This window comes from Homo sapiens, chromosome 7 (genome assembly GCF_000001405.40).
Source record: "Homo sapiens chromosome 7, GRCh38.p14 Primary Assembly".
Classification (NCBI taxonomy): Eukaryota; Metazoa; Chordata; class Mammalia; order Primates; family Hominidae; genus Homo; species Homo sapiens.
The window spans coordinates 7,479,614-7,501,575 of NC_000007.14; the positions used below are offsets into that span (position 1 = coordinate 7,479,614).

General features: G+C 36.1%; 1 protein-coding gene across 13 annotated transcripts in view; it reads right to left on the reverse strand.

The window, feature by feature from the left end:
* The window catches only part of COL28A1 (collagen type XXVIII alpha 1 chain), a 205,677-nt gene that overhangs the window by 141,420 nt on the left and 42,295 nt on the right, over positions 1 to 21,962 (reverse strand). For 11 of the 13 annotated variants that reach the window (XR_926936.4, XM_011515360.3, XM_011515358.4 and 8 more), the window contains exons 12-13: positions 10,965 to 11,033; positions 9,776 to 9,844 (exon numbers count right to left, since the gene is read on the reverse strand). Coding sequence is in view for 11 of the 13 variants with exons in the window: in XM_011515360.3 (XP_011513662.1) it covers positions 9,776 to 9,844; positions 10,965 to 11,033 (138 nt within the window). In the remaining 2 variants the exon portion in view is untranslated. Of the gene's footprint in view, positions 1 to 4,528; positions 4,615 to 9,775; positions 9,845 to 10,022; positions 10,154 to 10,964; positions 11,034 to 21,962 lie in introns of those variants that run through there. The other 2 variants (XM_047420314.1, XM_011515362.2) reach the window with 2 other exon arrangements.

The following is a 21,962-nucleotide window of genomic DNA, read 5'->3' on the forward strand; positions in this document are numbered from 1 at the left end:
CAGTTTTATATGCAAATTGAAATCTTGATAGGATCATTAAGGGGAAACATGATTTTCAATTGCAATGATTCAAATTAAGAAGTTCATGTAACTATTGCTCAAAAAGCCACTAGGAAAGATGACTTCTCACATGAGTTAAGAAAAACACAGTCTCGGGCTTTGAAATGGACTTGCAGAAAATGTACTAATGGAAAAATAAAAGAGTAATAGTGAGGTTTTCATTTAAATCAGGAATTTTTAAAGACAATAATTTTTCTCTCCTTTTCTTCTTGGCCAGAAGGTAAAAAAGTAGTAAAGGAACTTACAACAAGAATCTTAGAAGAAGAAAATGAAGCTTTTCCTCTGATGAATCTAAACAAATAATTAGGCTTCACTTGCCAGAGAAATAAACCTATGATGGAACAAAGTCTGCCAACTTTCCTGCAAGTTCCTAAACCAGCACACTACAGACACTGAATGATGTTTGGGCTTGAGATACAGTAATCCAGGGTGATTTAAGACGCTTTTCTCCTCAAGCCCAGTAGCAGAACGAGGATGCAGCATTATACTCATCAGTGACTGATCATAGTTATAGATTCATAAGAAAAAGATCTGTTTTTCAGTGTTTAATTTTTTTGTCTTTCCCTAATGTTTTATATTTTACAAGACAATCTTCTTTAGTATTTATGCATACTGATTTTGTAAATAATTAAAAGAAAAAGCTAACATCTTTTTCAATTTAAATTGTAACACTTAACAGAAACCTAGCTTTTAACACTTCCAAGACCTTAATGAAAGCACTAATATCCATGACAGTTTATTGTACGGGCAGAGCAATTAGCTAGTAGGAAAATAAATAGGAGCATGAAAATTATTAATAGATTGCAAACTCAACCAAATTATTAATAGATTGCAAACTAAACCAAAAGTGCCAAGCCAACATCACATACTTTAACAAAGAAAACACATACTTTAACAAAGAAAACACTGACAAATTATTTTTTCCCTAATAATATGACAAATGAAAAAAAACACAATTTATATTAAATGTAAGGAAGTATTTTTCCAGTTCACTCAACTTTTTTCATTCATCCAACAAAGATATACCAAACTTCTAGCAGGTAAACGGCATTGTGCTAGGTTCTAGGGATAGCAGACAAAACTGCTCCCTGTCTCATGGAGCTGACAATATTGCATAATAGTTAAAAGCAGATTTTGGTGTCATTTGTACTGAGGTTCAAGCCCCAGCTCTGCTACATAGTAGCAGTTTCACCTTAAACAAGTAAGTCAATCTCTGCAAAGCACAACATCCTCCTCAAAATGGTTGATAATAATAGTATCTACCTCAACCACAAGTGTTCATGTAAGGATTAAGTCAGAGAGATTTAAATCTTTTACAGATTAAGCACTCAATAAATATCTGCCATCATTATCCAAATTATTTTACTTGAGTCCTGTAATTGCTAAGAATGTCCTTTCATGGAAGTTTTTACAAATAAAAGCAGTCTCTGAGTGAATGATTTAAATTAAACAATGTGTAAAAAGCATGCTGCACTGAATAAACACTGAATCTTCCTTCATTCTCTGCACTTCTAGAGTACGTTAGCTAAACTGGAGGTGAAAATATTGGATCTTTAAGGAGCCAAGTATTCAAAGCTGCTGAGAACGGAGAGTTAATGCTCATGGACAGTCTTTTAGGAGAAAAAAGCAGTGATCCAAAGTGTAATTACTATAAACCATCAGAGTAGTATTCCACGCCATCAGTATATTCTCAAGTCTTCCAGTTAAACACTCAGCATGGACGATGATCATTAGCCAGAGAAGAGAAGTAGAAGGTACTTGGGTTAAATGGTTATAGTTTAATTTATTAAGATAGTACCAAAAGATTATTTTTAAAAGACAGAAATCCTTCTATTAAAAAATCTCAGTGTCCTTTCTAAGGCCATGAGAACCAATTACAACTACGACATACTTACTTGGCTTCTAACGAACACCTCTAATAAAAAATAAATAATGAAGGAATCTAATTATCAGTTAACACAGCCTGATCAGTGAAATGCTTTATCTGAGACATTAACGATGAGATGAAATACGATTGTCCATTATGTTCATCTTATTACTTTCCGTAGTAATCTCAATAGTGTTAATAATCAATACAAATGCTTTCAATATGCATTGCAAGCATTAGAGATAAATATGCTAATAATAATAGTAACTGTCCATTATCTTCAAACAGTGCCATCTACTTTATTTTTTAATCTCAAAATAATTATAGTTCCCTTTCAGGGTTTTTTTTTTAATTTACAGTGCTCTGAATAACCTTGCATAAAAAACAAACAGATCACCCTGACAGTCTTAACCAATTTAATTTTTATGAATCAGTTACATCTACCAGACCAGCACAAAACTAGTGGTAATCACATAAAGATGACAGATGACAGTTCAAAAGTAGGTCTCGGAGCTAGAATATTAATTCAATCTATCAGCAGATTTATATTAGTGTGGTAGTGAAAAGAGAGTAGTACTAAATACGAAACACTTGAAATAATTCAGGCAAAGAAACAAAAGCAAAGGACTTTCAGTAGAATCTTTGTCAGCCCTAAGATAAGTCTTTACCTTACTTCTAAATAATTCAAAAATTCACATTGTTGGCTGAGCATGGTGGCTCAGGCCTGTAATCCCAGCACTTCAGGACGCTGAGGTGGGCGGATTACCTGAGGTCAGGAGTTCGAGATCAGCCTGGCCAACATGGTGAAAACCCATCTCTATTAAAAATACAAAAATTAGCCAGGTCTGGTGGCTGGAGCCTACAGTCCCAACTACTTGGGAGGGTGAGGCAGGAGAATCGCTTGAAGCCGGGAGGTGGAGGTTGCAATGAGCCAAGATCGCCCAATTGTGCTCCAGCCTGGGGGACAAGAGTGAGACTCTGTCTCAGAAAAAAAAAAAAAAAATTCACATCATTGATTTTTTTATAATGACATTTTGGTGCAACATTTTGATACATTATTTAGGAACTTTCCTACCTTTGTTATGATTTTAGTTCCCAATTAAGTATAACTCTGTAATTATGACTTGGAAAGCAAGCAAGCAAGCAAGAATTTCATGTTCTGGTAATATTGTTAAAAACTCTCAACTACAAACAGTTAGAAAGACAGGTAATATACGTTTTTTAAGATGAATTTTAAAGGCATGGAAGAGTCCAAAGAAGATAAGAGAAATTGCAGGGTTCAAAAAGAGAGAATCAAAACTCGAGAACTCTAGCATATAAGTTAAGCATCTTAGGTAAGCATCTAAGCTGGTGCTACAGCTGTCCTGAATAGAAAAGTGTGTTTGTGTGGTGGGAAGAAGGCTAGGAAATTTAGAGGGAGGAACAGCAGCAAAGACTTTGGCTCACGCAATGGAAAATGAAGACAGAATTATAACTGAGAGACTGAGATTCCCACAAACTTAGACAGACAGTCTCCAACTTAAGATGGGATGGTTCGACTTAAGATTTTTGGATTTTACAATGGGTTGGTCAGCATGTAACCCCATGGTAAGTCAAGTACCTCCTTATGACTTACAATGGGCTTATGGTTTCTACTGAATGCATTGCGTTTGCATCCTCATAAAGTAAAAATATATATATAAATCAAACCATTGTAAGTTGGGAACCATCTTCGGTGTTACCAACACTAAATGCATTTTCAACTTACAGTATTTTTTATTTATGACGGGTATAGTAGGATGTAACTCCATTGTATGTCAAGGAGCATCTGTATATATTCAATGAAAGAACAAAGTAGAAAAAAGCCATCCCATCAACACAGTGGTATGAATGACAAGAATCTTGTCTGCTTGGCTTGGGCTCATAATGACTAAAAATTTCTACCATGGTCCTGTGCTGTGTATGAGTTTATGATTTCAATTGACATTATCTAAGTGGTTCATGAACACCTTAGTCAAGACATTAGCATCAAGGAAACCCCTGGAGTACAAAAGAGATACAAACACAAACTCCTCTCAAATCCTAAGAATGCTTAGGATTCACAATTAAAGCCCAGCTGAAAATAACTCAGATGGAAAAGTACAAAACATAAAAGAAAATAACTCACAATGAATAAAAGTAAACTAACACAACGTAAACTTCCTCAAGAATGTCAAATAATAGAATAAAATAATAGAGACAAAAAAGAAGTACTTTAAATACTTAATGGTCTTATGGAAATAATGGAAAATACAAGAACAGTATAGTAAAAAGATAATAAATATAGTTAATAAAAGGCAGATTTTAAAAAATAACTAAGAATTTTTAAAATACTTATTAACTTAAAAATACAATGAATGAGTTAAGAACATTTTATAACATGATGAAGATAAATTTGTGGGTTATAAGTTAGATTTGAGAAAATTATCCAATTGCAACCAAATATCTAGTAGGATTTCTTGATAAATAGAATGGGGCAAGAAAATATTTGAAGAAATAATAGCTAAGAACTTTTTTAAACTATGGAGTCCTCAGATTCATGAAACGGTAAATCTGAAAAAGTATATGTGAAAATATACTCACATTTATATGCATCATAATTCCTCTACAGGAAATCTAAAGAATAAAAAAAAATTGCAAAAGCAGCCTAAAGCAAAAATGAATTACTACAAGAAATTATAAACAGACTAAAGACATGGAAACAGAAACCATGGTTGCCAGCAGACAATGGAATTAGTACACAATCCAGACTGCACCAGCTAAACTATTCTTACAAAGCAAACTAAACAATGGCATTTCAACCAAAGGCTGAAAGGGTTTACTGCTAACATATTTTTACTGAAAACATCTTCTGAAAGAAGTATTTATTGAAAAAAACAAAGAAATCAGCCAAGAAGAAAAGAGAAATTTAGGAAGCTATGTCAACTAAGAAATGGGTAAATATATGGGTAAAACTATACAAATACTGACTTAAAAAAGTTCAAAAATAATAATAAATAATTTTGGTAGGATGAAAATAAAGTAGAACTAAGTCAATAGGAATGATACTCTGAAGGTGGAAGAAATGATTGAAGTAAAAGTGTCATATGGTCAGTATATTTTTCAGGAGTAGGTGGCAATATTGATGACATTTCAAACTTGTTAGTCAAGAAAACATGTTAGGAATCAACCTAAATGCCCATCAATAGTAGACTGGATAAAGAAAATATGGTATATATACACCATGAAATATTGCACAGCCATAAGAAAGAATGAGATCATGTCCTTTGCAGCAACATGGATGGAGCTAGAAGCGCTTATCCTTGGCAAACTAACTCAGAAATCCAAATACTGCATGTTCTTACCTATAAGTGGGAGCTAAATACTGAGAACACAAGGACACAAAGAAGGGAACAGCAGACACTGGGGCCCACTTGAAGGTGGAGGGTGAGAAAAGGGTGAGGATGGATAAATTGCCTATCAGGTACTATGCTTCTTATTTGGATGATGAAATAATCTCTACACCAAACCCCTGTGACATGCAATTTACCTATATAACAAACCTGCAAATGTACCCCTGAACCTCAAATAAAAGTTAATAAAAAGAACACATATTAAAGTTTAGTAACCACAAAAAAAGAAACAAAATATGTAAAAATATATACAAGTATATGTACACATATATAGATATATACATACCAAGTTGTGCATGTGTGTGTATATATGCTTGAGATATGTATATATATTTGATATTTTGCCCAATTTCTAATTCGATTTTTATTATTGAGTTTTGAGAATTTTTTTTAAAAATGTATTCCCAATACAAATCCTTTGTAAATGTGTAGTTTGTGAATATTTTCTCCCAATCAGCAGCTTGTCTCTTTATACCCTTAACAGAGTCTTTCACAGAGCACACATTTACCACTTTGATGAAGTCCAGTTAATTACTTTTTAGGGGGGGATCATGTTTTTGGTGACATGTCTAAGAAATCTTCATCAAGCCCACGATCCTAAAGATTTTCTCATATGTTTTATTCTAAAAGTTTTATAGTTTTTACATTTTATATTTAAATCTATGATCCATTTTGAGTTACTTTTTGTATAAGGTGTGAGACTTAAATTGAGGTTAATTTTTTGTGTTTGCACAGATAACCAATTGCGCCAGCACCATTTGTTAAAAAGACTATGTTTCCTCTATTGGATTGCTTTCACAATCTGTTGACTATACTTGTGTAGGTCTGAATCTGGGGTCTCTATTCTGTTCCACTGATCATATTTCTATAATTTGCCAATACCACACAGTCATTGTTACTGTACCTATATAATAAATCTTAAGACCAGAAAAGTTAGTATAATTTCTCCAAGTGTATTCTTTTTCAAGTTTTTTAAAAGCTATTCTAGCTCTTTTGCCTTTCCATATTAATTTTAAAATAGCCCTGTCCAAGTCTAAACAAAATCTTGCTGGGGTATCAAAAACATTTGCACTAAACTTTTACATCAATTTGGGAAGAATTTACATCTTTATGTTGTTGAGTCTTCTAATCTGTAAACATGCCTCTAAATGTATTAAGTATTCTCTGATTTCTTTCATCAGTGTTTTGTAGTTTTATACAAGCCCTATATGTGTCTTATTAGATTTCTACCCAAGTATTTTCTTTTTTAGCAATTAAAAATGGTGTTGTGCTTTTAATTTTAGTTTCTATGTGTTCATTACTAGTATACAGAAATTAAATAGATTTTGTATGTTGATATTGTACCCTGTGACCTTGCTGAACTCACTTGTTAATTCTAGGAGGTTTTTGTATAGATTTCTTGGGGTTTTCTATGGAGGCCATCATATCATCTGCAAATAAGGATAGTTTTATTTATTGTTTTTATACCAATGCCTTATATTTCTTTTTCTTGTCTTATCGTGCTGGCTGGAACTTCCAATATGTTGAATAAGACTGATGAGAGCAGACATCTTTGTCTTGTTCCTGATCTTAGAGGGATGCATTCACTCTTTCACTATTACGCATAATGTTAGCTCTAGATTTCTCATAGAAATTGAGGAAGTTCCTCCTCTATTTATAGCTTTCTGAGAGTTTCTATGAGAGATTTATCAGCGTTTATTAGGGTTTTGAGTTTTGCCAAATGCTTTCCTGTGTCTTTTGATGTGATCATGTGATCTTTCTTCTTTAGCCTATTAATATGGTGTATTCCATTGATTAATTTTCAATTATTAAGCCAGGCTTGCATCCACAGGATAAACCCCACTTAGTCATGCTGTATAATTCTTTTTATATATTGCTGAATTCTATTAGCTAGCATGTTGTTAAGAATTTTTATGTCTATATTCACAAGGGATATTGGTCTGTAGTTTTCTTCTTATGTATGTTTAGTATTTTGTTTTGGTATCAGGGGAAAACTGGCCTCATAAATTAAGTTGATAAACGTTTCTTCCTCTTCTATTGTCTGAAAAAGATAGGGAGACTTTACTGTATCCATAATGTTTTATGTTTTTTAAAGAAAATCTAAAGCAAGAGTAGTAAATGTACTAAGTATAATTGTCTACCTGGCGGAGGTTTACCAACTCATTCTCTATATTTTCCAATATGCTTAAAATATTTCATTATTTAAAAAAAAACATTTTAAGAACGACAATGAATAAGTGACACTCATTCTTAAGTTTAGTGCTGAGTTTGGAAGGTATAAATAATAGCAAAGCACAAAGTTCTTTGGAAAAAACAATCATCAATCTATATTTAAAAATTTTTTACGCGGGGCACAGTGGCTCACGCTTGTAATCCCATTACTTTGGGAGGCAGAGGTGGGTTCATCACCTGAGGTCAGGAGTTCGAGACCAGCCTGGCCAATATGGTGAAACCCTGTCTCTACAAAAACTACAAAAATTAGCCAGGCATGGTGGCGGGCACCTGTAATCCCAGCTACTCGGGAGGCTGAGGCAGGAGAATCATGTGAACCTGGGAGGCAGAGGCTGCAGTGAGCCGAGATCATGCCTCTGCCCTCCAGCCTGGGCGACAGAGCAAGACTCTCTTAAAAAAAATTAATTATGACTTATTTCTTTGACATTTTCAGAATATTTCCAGCTCTGAAAATCATAGACCTAAGGAGAACCCAATCTTTTAATTTTATAGAAGTTAAAATTTGAGACTTCGCTAAATTAAATACATCCACAAGTTCTTTGATATTCTTCATAAGCGGGCAAAATCTTTTTCTATTCCACTCGAATCTGAGCTGGTCCTATACTTACTTTAGATGTCACAGAAATGATGCTGTATAATTTCTGAGGCTAAGCTTTACATGATGAGTGGTTTCTGCCTATTGGAACACTCCTGCTTGGATTCAAGCTGCCATGTTGTGAGGAAGCCCAAGCAACCACTGTAGCTGCCCATGTGGAGGAGAAATGAGGTCTCTGGGCAACAACCCTAGCTAAGCTCCCAGACAACAACCTGCACCAAACTGCCAGCCATGTGAGGCCATTTTTAACATTGCAGCCATTTTAGCACTCCATCTGACTTCAAGTTATAAAGAACTCTCATGTCAACCCGCAAAATCATAAGGAATAACAAATTATTGTTTTAAGGCACTTAGTCCTGAGGAAGTTTGTTAAGCAGAAACACAAAACCAAAATAGAGACCAAAATAAGTTAGTGGTTTATCTTTAATGGTACTATCTATTTAGTGGAAACTAAGACTAGATCACTGATCTCTAGATGATTAGTCCAGTGTATTTTTCTTCCATATAATGCTCTCTTTTTTGAATTAGTATGTTCAGACATTAGTGAAAAGCCTAAACCTAAATAATATGTTGCCATTTCACTCACAGAGTGCAGTAAGGAAGTGTATGTTTCTGTGAATATACACATGTGAGGAACTATGCAGTGCAAAGACAACTTCAAAGACCAGCTATCCACAATCAGTTGTTTTTATTTGTACCTAAGTGAGTCAGCTACTATTTTTCCCTAGGAGAATAATGATTACTTGAAAAGTTAACAAGCTTTATATACCAGAATAATCATATTTTATTCACTTCCTCTCCAAATGTCTTTTAGTAGAAATTTTTTTCTTCTCCAACAACAGTAAACTTCAAAACTACATAAAAGAGATGCTGTGAATAACGCAGGTATTATCTGTCTACCATTATCAATCCTAGCTTTAGAGCATACTCATGGATTAGATAATGAGCCAAGTCCTTATTCTCAGTGATTTTTCTCATGGTTACAAAGAAATCCATTATAAAGTATAAACATTAGGCTTGAGTCCAGATCTTCCTAGAAAATTTTAACACATGAGAACTCTTTTCTTCTTGTTCAAGTTGATTCATCTTGTAAGAAGTTACAGTAAAAGAGAGTTGGTGTAAACATCATATATATTTACACATATACATATATACATAGTTCTATTTCAAGTGTTGTGAAAAATAGCACGTGGATCTGGTTCTCGCATATTTATTTTCATTTGTTGCTCGTAAAGATGCAAGGTGGTTGGGAGGCTGAGGTGGGTGAATCACCTCAGCTCAGGAGTTCGAGATGAGCCTGGCCAACATGGCAAAACACCGTCTCTACTAAAAATACAAAAAACATTAGCTGGGCCTGGTGACGTGCACTTGTAGTCCCAGCTAATTAGAGGCTGAGGCAGGAGAATCACTTGCACCCAGGAGGTGGTGGTTGCAGTGAGCCGAGATCATGCCACTGCATTCCAGCCTGGGTGACAGTGAGATTCCGTCTCAAAAAAATAAATAAATAAAATAGATACAAGGTGGATTAATCTGACCATTTATCCTAAACAGAAAGAACAAGTAAAAACTATATTTGTCCTTTTCATTCCATCTAGAATTTTTGCTACTTACTGGCTGTCCAGGCTCACCAACTCCAATGGGTCCTGGAGCTCCCGGTCTTCCTTCTTGGCCTCTTTCTCCCTAAGAGAAAGAAATAATAGAATGAAAGCTTGAGATTTTAAATAAAGAATAAACATAGCGCAAAGTTCTCTCAAGATTTCAACAAGGATAAATAGCGAAATAGACAAAATGTTGGTTTTCATAAAGGTAAAAAATTCTAGAGGAAGAGAAATAGCTCGAATTTAAGTGAACAAATTACCCTAAAATGTTTATTATCTCTTCTTGTCCAAATGTAATTCAGTATTTTCAGTTTTCACAAAATATTGTGTAAGAATTGGCAGGACAGACTGTGTGGCAATGCAGGTTGGTTACAGAGCTGACTAAGCTGACAATGTGTGTGCTGTGCCCTGCCCTCTTGCCACCATCCAGGAATGTCACCCCTTCCTTGTCCCCACTCTATCCTATTCATCTCTCCTTTAAGCTCTTTTCAGACTTCATCTCCTCCAGAAAACTTCTCCATAACTCTGCCAGCATAAACTCCACCTTTCCTGGAGTCTCAATGTGCTCATTGTTGAAATGCTATACATGGGGATATTCAATTACATTCAAAGTACACTGTTTTGTACTGCTTGCTATTTTAATCCTGCATCAAAGTCTTATTGTCACAACCACTTGGAAAAGCCATTCAAAATAGGCACTTCTGCTTTATTAATATGTCCTGCATAATGTACAGCCTCACAGGATGGACGTTCCTTCCTTCCCTTTCTAGTTCTCTACAAATCTCTCTGCCAACATTGACCTATTCATTGCCATGGCCCTTCTGGTTTCTGCCCCTTTATGCTTATTCAATGTGAACCATGATTGTTGATGTGTTAAGTTGTTTCACTTCCCAATAACATATTTGCATGTGAATGTTTAAAGTCCATGAAAACAACAGAACTACATGTACCTTGGCAAAAGGGTGGGTATTTGGAGACAAGTAAGTTTTTCATTCCAACAAAATTAAAAAATACGTTAATTATTCTTGTGGTAACTGCCCCTGACAAGCACATTTCTGTGTCCAAGCACATAAAATGAAGTAACTTCAGGAAGCCTCCTTGTGTCTATTGGATTTAGGCCAAATGGAGTTCAAATCATGGCTCCCCCAGGCCCTACAATAAATTCAACAGTCATCAGTGGGCAAAAAGACAAGTATCTTTACCTTAATACCTTGCTGTCCAATTCCAGGAGCTCCTGGAGAACCATAAGGACCAGGAGGACCTGGCTCACCCTGGAGGAAGAAATAGTGACATCAGTTATATGTTAGGTCGACTCAATAGTATTGACTAAGCAGCTTTTAGATGTATGGTTTTGCAATAGGGGCTTTCAGAGCAACAACAAACCTGTACATCGTGCCTGCCCTCAATTGTTTACAACTCATTTGGAAAGAAAACACAGACCCAAGATCAAATTATCCACTAGGCACAGTAGTCACAATATCTGGGTCCACAACACTTTCAGGAGCCTGCAAATATGTTCCAATTGTAATTTTTTGATTCAAAATAAAAATAAACATAATGACTATATAACAATGAATACAGCTTGCATTCATAAATATAATTTTTTAATGTGTTTATGGAGGAAGGGGCCCACAAAGTCAAGTGTTTTCAGGATCCATAAAAGGCATAACGCAGCCATCACTCATTCATTCACAAATCTTTAAGTGCTCTGGAAGACATATTTTGTTTCCTCCCCTGCGGCTGTCCTTTCTCAGCTTTCCTTCCCTGCTGATAAACCCCCAATTGAGTCAGTCAGTGGGCAGCTGTTCTTTGCCCTCAGAGGTGTAGGATGAATGATCATTGGCCTAATGCAAGATGGGAATCTCCTTTCCCTTTGTCACTGATTCATCTCAGTTGGTCACATGGCTCAATTCTGACAAACGAGATGTGAAGGACCTTACTGGATGCAAAGGAGAAAACTGCCTCTGTCTCTTCTTTCCTACATAGAGATGTGATAACTGTCTTGTAACTATGAGGCAGCAATCTCTAGGACAAAAGCCAGCTGCTGAAGAGGCCTGGCTCCTGGATACCCTCAATGAGCAACTGATCCAGTCCTGGACTACCTGCCTTCAAATATTCTGTTTACTCAACAGCAAGAGTTCTCATGATTTAAGCCACTATTATTCAAGATTTCTGTTACTCAAAGCCAGAGCATTTTGAAATAATAATAGCCTATGATGTGGCAAGCCCATAATAGAATTCAGGCATTTTAGAACTAGATGTGACCATTGCACTCAAACCCCTACATTTCACAGGTGAGAAACCCAAGTCCCAGAGAGATTACCTGGCCAGCCCAAACTCACACCTGAATACCACTCACACAGTTACAGCTCTTTAGGTCTCTCCGGCTTTAAGCCCTGTGGCATGATGATAGGGGAAGGGGAGTGGCTATTGACCCCAATTACCCATTTCATAATATTATTTTTTTCTGTTTATCAAAATAATATGTCTCATTGTAGAAAATTGTCATATATTAAAAAGCATGCATGCAAAGAAAATTTTAAATTACCTATCTGTAACTATTAATACTATAAAATTTCGGTGTATTTCCTTCCAGTTTTTTACATTCACACGTGTACCTTTAATTTATGCTAAGGAAGATTGCTGAACACTCTTTATGTTTCAGCTAATGAATATTTGCTATTAAAAATTTCATTCAACCCAAAGGTTTCTCTCTTCATGCTTTCACTAACCAACAGTAAAATGAAACAGGAAAGTGAAACAAGCCTTCTCTGAGATGAAGGGAGATAAAGGAGTTTTCAGAAATATTAAAGTCTCAATTTACCCCAGAAGCTTGTGATTTTGGAAGGGACACCTAATGACCAGAGCAATGTTCTGTGGATATAGTAAAGACATTGCTTTACTATAAGAAGTCTGTAACCGATGTGGTGGCTCATGCCTGTAATCCCAGCACTTTGGGAGGCCGAGGCAGGTGAATCACTTGAGGTCAGGAGTTCAAGACCAGCCTGGCCAACATGGTGAAACACTGTCTACTAAAAATACTAAAAAAAAAAAAAAAAATTAGCTGGGCCTGGTGGCATGTGCCTATAGTCCCAGCTACTCGGGAGGCTGAGGCAGGAGAATTGCTTGAACCTGGGAGGTAGAGGTTGCAGTGAGCCAAGGTCACGCCACCACACTCCAGCTTTGGCAACAGAGTGAGACTCCGTCTGTTAAAAAAAAAAAAAAAAAAAAAAAAAGGTCTGTTGACTTTGACCAATTGCGAAAGAGAACCAGAAGGGCTAAGAAGGGTCAGAGTCAAACCAGCTCCCCAGAAGATATGCCCAGGCTCAGGGTGATTTAAAACAAAGGAATCCTGCCTCAAAATGAGTCATCCACATTTATGATCCTTTGATATTTAAGTGGATTGAATTCAAAAGTACTTACTGTGCATGCTGTTGAGTACAAGTCAGTCTGGCAAATATTTTTTCCCTTAAACTCCTAAGGTTGTACTTGTTTTTCTATATTGATTAAGTTTTCTGAGCAGCCAGTTGACTGACATTCTCATTTTACATGTTTTTAGCCATGGAATTTATATATATATGTTACATAATATATGTAACATTATATATACCTGTTATATAATATATATACATATATAACAGGTATATATAATGTTATATAATATATATAACATTAATATATAATATATATATATATACCATTAAAAATACAATAATAATATCTACCCACTGCTGAATTTGTCTGGCTAAAAAAAATACAATAATAACAATACAAGGCCCTAAATTCACTTATTCTATTCATTTTTTATCCCTTCTATATGTAGCATTGGTTCTGTAATGGGTCAGAAGGCATCTAAATTATATATTTGGTAGAGAATTTGAGGATTTTTTGAGTAGTGGAAGTTCTGCCCTACTTGGTACTTATCTGATGTTTGATCAGAAACAAACCAAGAGCCCAGGTTGGTGACAAGAAATTGGTTTGGTCATTACCTTGAAATGTATGGATCAGGAGAATCAAGAGTAGAAGCAGCTCTCTTACCTTGAGCCCATGAAATCCCTTTAGCCTTAGTCAAGTACCAAGAGCAGCTGAGCAATATCTTAATATTGCTTTACAAGGCAGTTGCAGGGATCTGAAGATTACAGAGGGATTGCTCTCCTTTACCTGAACACAGCCCCTTAGCAATGTAGCTTCACATTTCACTTGCTTAAATTTATTTCTCGGGAGCCTGGTATCTCAAGGTAGGATCCACAAAACAGTATTGGCCTATAGCTCATGTTTATTCCCTTCCCATTTCCCCTTTTTCTTTCCTACAGAGATTCCTGAGGTAGTAAAGAAAGTGGTCCTGACTCTAAAATATGCTGTCTGGGTAAAAACAAAACAGGGAGGGAAGAGTCAGCACTCTAGTCAGAATAGCCCTGGTAAGACGGCAGGCATGATTCCTTTCCTGTTAATATTCCTACCCCAGCCCTTAGCAACACACACACACACACACAAAGACAGAGAGATGGCATGCCCAAAAAATTGCATGCCCACAGTAATTATTTCTCTACTTTACTTTCATTTGCCATCAGAGCCATTTACCAACAGGCAAGTATAACAAAGAGGTCTGGGTTAAAATCAGTAGCCCCAGAAAGAATATGTTTCTCATTACCTCCATGTGAGTGTGAATGTGTGTGAATGTGAGTGTGAGCGTGTGTGGAGGCAGCAAAAAGTTTAGGTAAACCACCTTTGTCCTTTTCAGAAATTAAGAACACCCATACTATGGGCTTCAAGAGGACAGGAAGCCAATGTTTAATAAAACCTGCTATTTATCAGCACTGCCCAGACATGTTACATACATTATCTCATTTAATCTTCTAACAATCATAGGAAATAGATTTTGGGGTTTGGGTTTTTTTTTCGAACTCCTTTCCTCAAATGATTGTTCTGTCTTGGCCTCCCAAAATGCTGGGATTACAGGTGTAAGCCACCACACCTAGCCCTTCATGCATGGAGTCACAGGGAAAAAACCATGGCTTTGAATCATTTGGTCTTGTAGAACCTTGGTTCTATCATTTACTAACAATTTTAGCTTTTGCAAGATCTCCATATGCAAAATGAGGATAATTATATCTGCCTTGTAGCATTGTTGAGAGGATTCAAGATATTGTCTGCAAAACATCTAAGTCATAACCAGTCACACAACACCTGTTTAATATGTATAGATTTAATTGTTATTCACCAGACCTTTTTTGAGCACCAAACTAATAATAGGTAAATAACAATTTATGTCTATAATTGAATATCAGGTTACCTAATCACAGACATAAATCAGATTGCACCTGCACTTTGCAGAAGCTTACAATCTGGCTGGAGAGACAAATCAATATAAAATAAAATACAAGCATGTGAATTAGCATAATAAAGATATTAACAGAATACATAAGACTCTGAGGCAGAAATGTTTAATTCTACCTTAAGGAATTGGGAAAGTTTCATATAGTAGAGGAGATGTTTGATCCAAACAAAGAAGTAGGAATCATAGCTAATCTGATGGAAAAGAAAAGAAACAAAAGTTACAGAAGAAGAAAGAGCATGAGGCTTAAAATGGTGTTAAATATTCTAGAGACGGTCAGCAGCCCGTGAGCCCAACAGGCCGGAAACAAGGTGACACTAGGGCCACTGTCTGGAGCAGCATGGTCCAATGCAAGTAGACAGCGAGCCACATTTGTAATTTTAAATTCTCTACTAGCCACATTAAGAAATAAAAAAACAGGTAAATTATAATTAATAAATTTTACTTAATAAATACAAAATATTATCATTTTGACATGTAATCAACACTTTTTAAAGTATTAATTATTTTTTTACCATCTTTTAATGCTAAGTCTTTGAAATCTGATGTGTATCTTATACTTACAGCACATCTCAATTTGGACCAGCCACATTTCAAATGCCCAGTAGACACATGTGGCTACCTTATTGGGCACTGCGGTTTAGAGTGATTAATGAGGTTGAAGGCTCAGGTCAGTACCATGAACAGTACCAACATTTAAGTCAGGTGGGAGTGGAAGAATACAAAGATGTCTTGTGGGGAGTTGGGGAAAAAGAGAATTTCAAAAAGAGACTCATCATTTCCAAAGATAAATTGTCATCTTTCACTCCCCAATATAGTCATCTTCCAGCCCTTCCCACCTCAGGGAAGGGCACCAGAATCCCTCCTGTGTCAAATGGGAACCTAGGGGTCATTCATGACACCTCCCACTCCCTCTGCCACCATATGCAACGCATCCCAACACCTATCAGTATGCCTCCTAAATATCTCTCAAATCCATCCACTTCAGTCCTCTACCACGCGTCTCCAGTCTACAGCAAACTGATAATACCTCTTGTTCAGAGTACAACAAAGCCCTTAGTACTCTACTTGCACCCACTCTAGCATGCTCCAATTTATTCCCTCCATTGCTGCAGAGCAATTTTTTAATTTTAATTTTAATCTGAGTAAAACCTTCTGAGGCCTTTCCCAAAGACAGAGCTCCTTACAAGGCCCTGCCTCTCCAATCCATCTGTCATCAGTCACCTCTTTACTCCCCACCCCAGCAACATTGGCTTTTGTTGAATTCCTTGTACTTGCCTTGCTCCTCCTGCCACAGGATCTTTGCACAGTCTATTCTGTCTGTCTGGGATGCTCTTACCTTTCTCTTTCATAGTGATTCTTACCCTTCAGATCTTATTTTAAGCAGCATGGCTTCAAGAAGGGTTTTTCTGATAAGATGAAATCACTATTTTAGTATTGATAGCACTGTTTTCCTTTTTTTTCTGAGCATTCATTACAAGTTGCAACTTTGCATTTAATGTTCTCCATCTCCTCCCCACTAGACTGTGGGGATGATGCATATGATTTTGTTCAGCTTTGCATTCTCAGTGTTTAGCTCATTACTATAATTCACTCAATCATCCATGCACCAGACATTTACTGAGCATTGACTAGGGAGCAGGGGCTCTGCTAGCTGTGGGAGGTGAACAAAACTGGAAAGCTGTTCTGGGCTGAGGAGCTGTGGGTCTAGAAATGCTCCTCTGCAGTTCCCTGTGGTTCACTTAGGTTTTCAACTAGGAGCAACTGTATATAAATTACATAATGATATCAAGTACCTATTACACAATTTCTCCTACCAATTCACCCAGACACAATTAATCTTTTTTTTTAGCTGAAAGAGTAATGAAACCACAATGAAGAGGAAAATTCAGCTGAGAAAACCGACTAACACTCCGTATCCCTGGCACTGATTCTAACCAAAAGCAAATCCTTCATTTCTCTAAGACAATACATAACAAATGGTTATCCAAGACTGAATTATTTGTGGACAGAACTTTACACTTTTTTTGATAATACAATTATGAACAATTTTATCATATTTTCTTAACATTACAAAGATGTTTTAGCAACTTTTAAAAATCATTTCCCAGATATGCATGGGACCAACTTTAATATTTTAAGTTTTATTGCAAATATTCTAATACTTTTCAAATGGAAGAAAATGATGGATGAACATTTTGTAGGTGCAGAATGGTTCAAGTATGGCCAGGATACATTCTCAGCTGAAACTCAGTGAAGTGATGACTGTATACAGAGACTTGGGAGAAAGGTCAAGAAAGCCTCCTTTTGGAAAGAGAGGAAGGAAGGAAAGGAGGGAGGGAGGGAGGGAAGAAGGAAGAAAGGAAGGAAGAAAGGAAGGAAGAAAGGAAGGAAGGAAGGAAGGAAGGAAGGAAGGAAGGAAAGAAGGATCAATATTTATCAAGTACTTGTTAAATCAAGCTCCATTTTTAGCACCAAGTTTCTCATTTCAGAGGAAGTGTTGTGTTATAAAAGGCTTGTTTTTAGAAAATTTACCAGAATAAACTTGGTCTACATTAGTATAAAGTTGTCAAAATGCTTAACTACTTAATTAAAATTACCAACACATATGGCACTTACTATGCAAGAAGTGCTGCTCTATGTGACTGACGTGTATTAACTCATTTAATCCTCACCACAGCTCTAAGAAGTAGTTACTGTTATTAACTTACTGCATGGATGAAAAGATTGAGTCATAGGGAGGTAAAGTAACTTGCCCAAATCATAGAGCCAATAAAATATAGGACTGGGTTTGAAACCCAGCAGTTTGAGGTTAAACCCAAATCTTAATCACTATGCCAAACTGCCTCTTGAAACTTTTTAATTCTTCTTTTAAAGTATTTCAAAAATTGTATGACTGCAGACTAAATTCATATCTTTATTACAGGATGAAAAATACAAAAGTCATATAATTACAATCTACTCACAACTGAAAATCCATCATATGAAGACAAAGCATCTCTAAAATAAAATATAAGCCAAGGGGAAATATAATTTATCCAAGCTGATGCACATGCTATTTCAGGTACATAAAGTCTACTTGGTTGTCACTTAATGTTAAAAGTAATGTAAATTATAACTGGCAATACTGTGATCACACAAGGTAAATCTACATATAAACTGGTAAGTGAACTGTACTGAGTTTGGAACCACTATTATGTCAAATCTCCAACTAAAATCTTTTTTGAATACCAGCTATTTAGGTAAGAGAGAAAGTCCAGTCCATATACTCTACGTACTTGTGCTTTCTAAAGCAGAAAAAGACTCCATAATAACAATGAATTGGTGAAGAATATAATAAAAATTATATTGAACCACATTTTAGTAACTCTTAACTCACCTTCTAGAATGCTATTAGGTTTAACCACATAAAATTGACAATATTTGATCATGTTTGGCCTACAAACATGGCAATTCATGTGTTTCAACTAATAGGAAAGTCATACTTCATTATATATAACAAAATCTGAGAAAATGCAAGTCATTTTCTCTGAAAGGAAGGACCAGTCAGCAGCCCATTAGGAGAGCTTTTGAGAATCGCAGCTCTAGAAGACACTGTTTAGAATCCTCCAGCACAAAATGAGTTGCTGGTAAAAATTCAGGGTGGACATGCTCCATTAACCTAAAAACAAGGCCACTGATTTATGAGAGCAGATGGGTGTATATGACAGCGTGATAATGTTTCTTCAAAACTTACCCTTGGAGGCTGGGAGGAGGGAAACATGGGGAGTTATTGGTTAATGGGTACAGAGTTTATGTTGAGACAATGAAAAACTTTTGGGTATAGATACTGGTGATGGTTATACAACACTGTGAATGTATTTAATACCACTGAATTACATACTTATAGATGGTTCAAATAATAAATATTATGTTATTATATATTTTACCACAATAAAAACACCCTTGGAATACAATTAATTTTCTCTGTTGCAAACTTGCTATTGCAACTTACTTGAAATAAATAAGGACATTGATGTAATTACAAAGAAAACATTCTGACATCCCTCTGAAGACACTGCAGTGGCTGATTCTGTTCCATTTTAGTGCCCCCTTTGACTATGCATGCAGTTTAAACTCAGCCACTTTGTGGGAAATGTTGGCAGCATTTTCAGTTCCTTGGTCCATCAGAGCTTTTACCTGACAATCTACACACACACGCACACACACACACACACAGAGTATATATACCCCATCTGCTGAGAACCACATGCATCAGCTATTTGGGAATAGAAATCATCTACCTTGAAGCTATTGGCTGACATCCCACATGTTCTGGCAGCCACTTCAAGTTGTCACTATCAGTTGTCTCATGTCAAACGAGTTAATAAGCTCATTTAGAGTCTTGGTGGGCAGATGTGCATGTAGGTCAAAGCCTTTTCTACAGCAAGAATTGCTGGATTACTAATGATTCTTTCCCTTTAATTAGGCCCAGAACAGAAATAGCATTCAGACTTTGACGTCTTTGAAGGAAAAACGTTCACATCGTTTGGCGGCTTGGCTATGAGTCTTCATTTAACAGTTATTTATAATTAAAATTGTAAAGGGATTCTTCCTATACACTGAGCAGTCACAACCCTTGTTCAAAATTGTTGTCCTGCCAGAAGAACCAGAAAGCAAATTACTGTTTTTGGACAACTAGAAAAGCTGACATGTTCAAGTACCCTACACTTAAAATAGTTTATATGAAGCCAAAAATACAGTCATTCTGTTAAGAGAATTGTGAACTTAAAACAGTTTTTTGTTTGATTAATTATTCTTTACCAAGAAATGTAGGAATCTACATGTTTTCACTTGATTTACTTCACTTCAAGTGATAAATTATAAGGAATTATATCCTGTTACAAATCATGACTTTTTAAGTGGTTGAAAGCAACATCATGATGTTAGGAAATTGTTAGGTTTTTGACTTATATAAGAACTGAAATATATCTACACAAGATGCTTGTTTGAGGAGAAAGTTTAAAATTCTTTATAATTGTTCATATTTGTGATGTTGAACTACTTCCAACCCATAACTGGAAACATTAGTTATGTTTAGTAGGTTGACCTAGCTACTAAGCTAATTTTGAGCCAAACCAAGTACTTAAATAATGACCAAAACAATAATGTATTTTTAAAACTACTAAATCTTCATTAGTGATTTCTATTCTAACGAAAATACTGGCATAGAAAATGTAAGACTCTAAGTTGTACACAAGAAAGTGTAAAAAATACAAATTAAACCCCAAGTCTTCATGCCACTTTTAGAAGAAAGTAGAAGTAACACATTGGATTGTTTAATGCACAGGAAGCTTTTGATGGGGTATGTCAACACTGTCCTGTTTGTCTTTATTACCCAACTATGTTAGAAGAATGGTCAATGTTCCCGACTGTTACATCCTTCTCTCTGGTTTGCTCCACAACTCATTGCCATCTCCTTGACCCTTCTACTGAAATTATTCTTTTGAATCTTCCCAATGACCTCAATATTGCCAAATTAAGTTACCACATAGGCAACTGCCCACATAACCTGTCTTCAGTATGATACTGTTGACCACTCATGCCATTTAAAACCTTTTATTCACTCATTCATTCAAGAAATACTTGTTGCTTCATGTAACTGTGTGTGAATTAGTGTGCAAAGCAGAATTTTTGAATCTCCCAGATAGTGGTGTTCCTGACCCATTGTTCCCAAATCTTCTGATTTAGACTTTTCAAAAATAGTGATAGACCTGCTCATATCTGTCCAGTTCTTCTGCCAATGGTTCCTATCTGAAAGAAGACTAGGAATGATTAACGGTATAATACATGGAAGCTCAAAGGAGAGAAACTTGATTAGCACACTTCCAGCTCCCAGAAATATCCACACATGCATTCCTAATATCATATCTGAAAGGAAGACAGCCAGCCCTCTTACCAAAACCCTTTTTCATAGAACACTTTGAAGAAAACAGGATGTTGTGTAGGGACGTTTAGCATGCTTACAGTTTTAAGTTCAGGGTCTGTACATCTAGCTCTTGTTTACTGAATCTCCTCATTAGTATATCATTAACCTGAAAAATATATCCTTTGCTTGGGAACCTCAGAAACTGGGATGGAAGCTTGAAAAAGTAGGGTTCGGAAAAGTAGGGTATCCAAAAACTGTGGTGTGGTGCAAGCTTCAGGGTGAACTAAATATATCATGTACTACCCTCATCGCCCTCACTGCAACGAACTCCTCTTCAAACATGGTTGTAGTTCATTCACTAACAGTAGGTCTTTTGTCCATTTGGGATGAATGTTTGTGTCATTTACCCTGACCATATCCATTTATTAAACTGGGCCAGTCTAGTGCTATTTCTCTATGGATTTTCTTAATATCTCAGAAGTTTAAATTGAACATAAAGTAAGACCAAGTCTCATAGGTAAAAGAATGCTAAGTTTCTTACACTTGACTGTACAGCAAGAAGAAAACACTTAGGACAAATATCCTGCAGGAATATTATGAACGTCCTAGAGTAGAACAATGGAAGGAGTTAGGAGAAGGGAGGCAATTCATTTTTTAAGATAAATATACAATACTGCAGTATTTTTTAACTGTTTGAGGATTAGCATATGGTACTTTCCCTTGGGAAAAAACATGAGGGATATCTCCTTGTGCCCTTTAGGCCTTGAAGCTCTAATGCTGGGGTACTTCGAAATGTCACCAGCTGCTTCCTGCACACGCCACTGTGCAGTCCCTCCTCCCAAGGCACAAAGAGAGTCTTGGAAAGAGTGGATTTGCATGAGATTTGAGAAGGAAATGCCCTTCAGAAATAACCTCAGAAAGACATCAAGAAAATGGCAAAAATTACCTAATATAGGC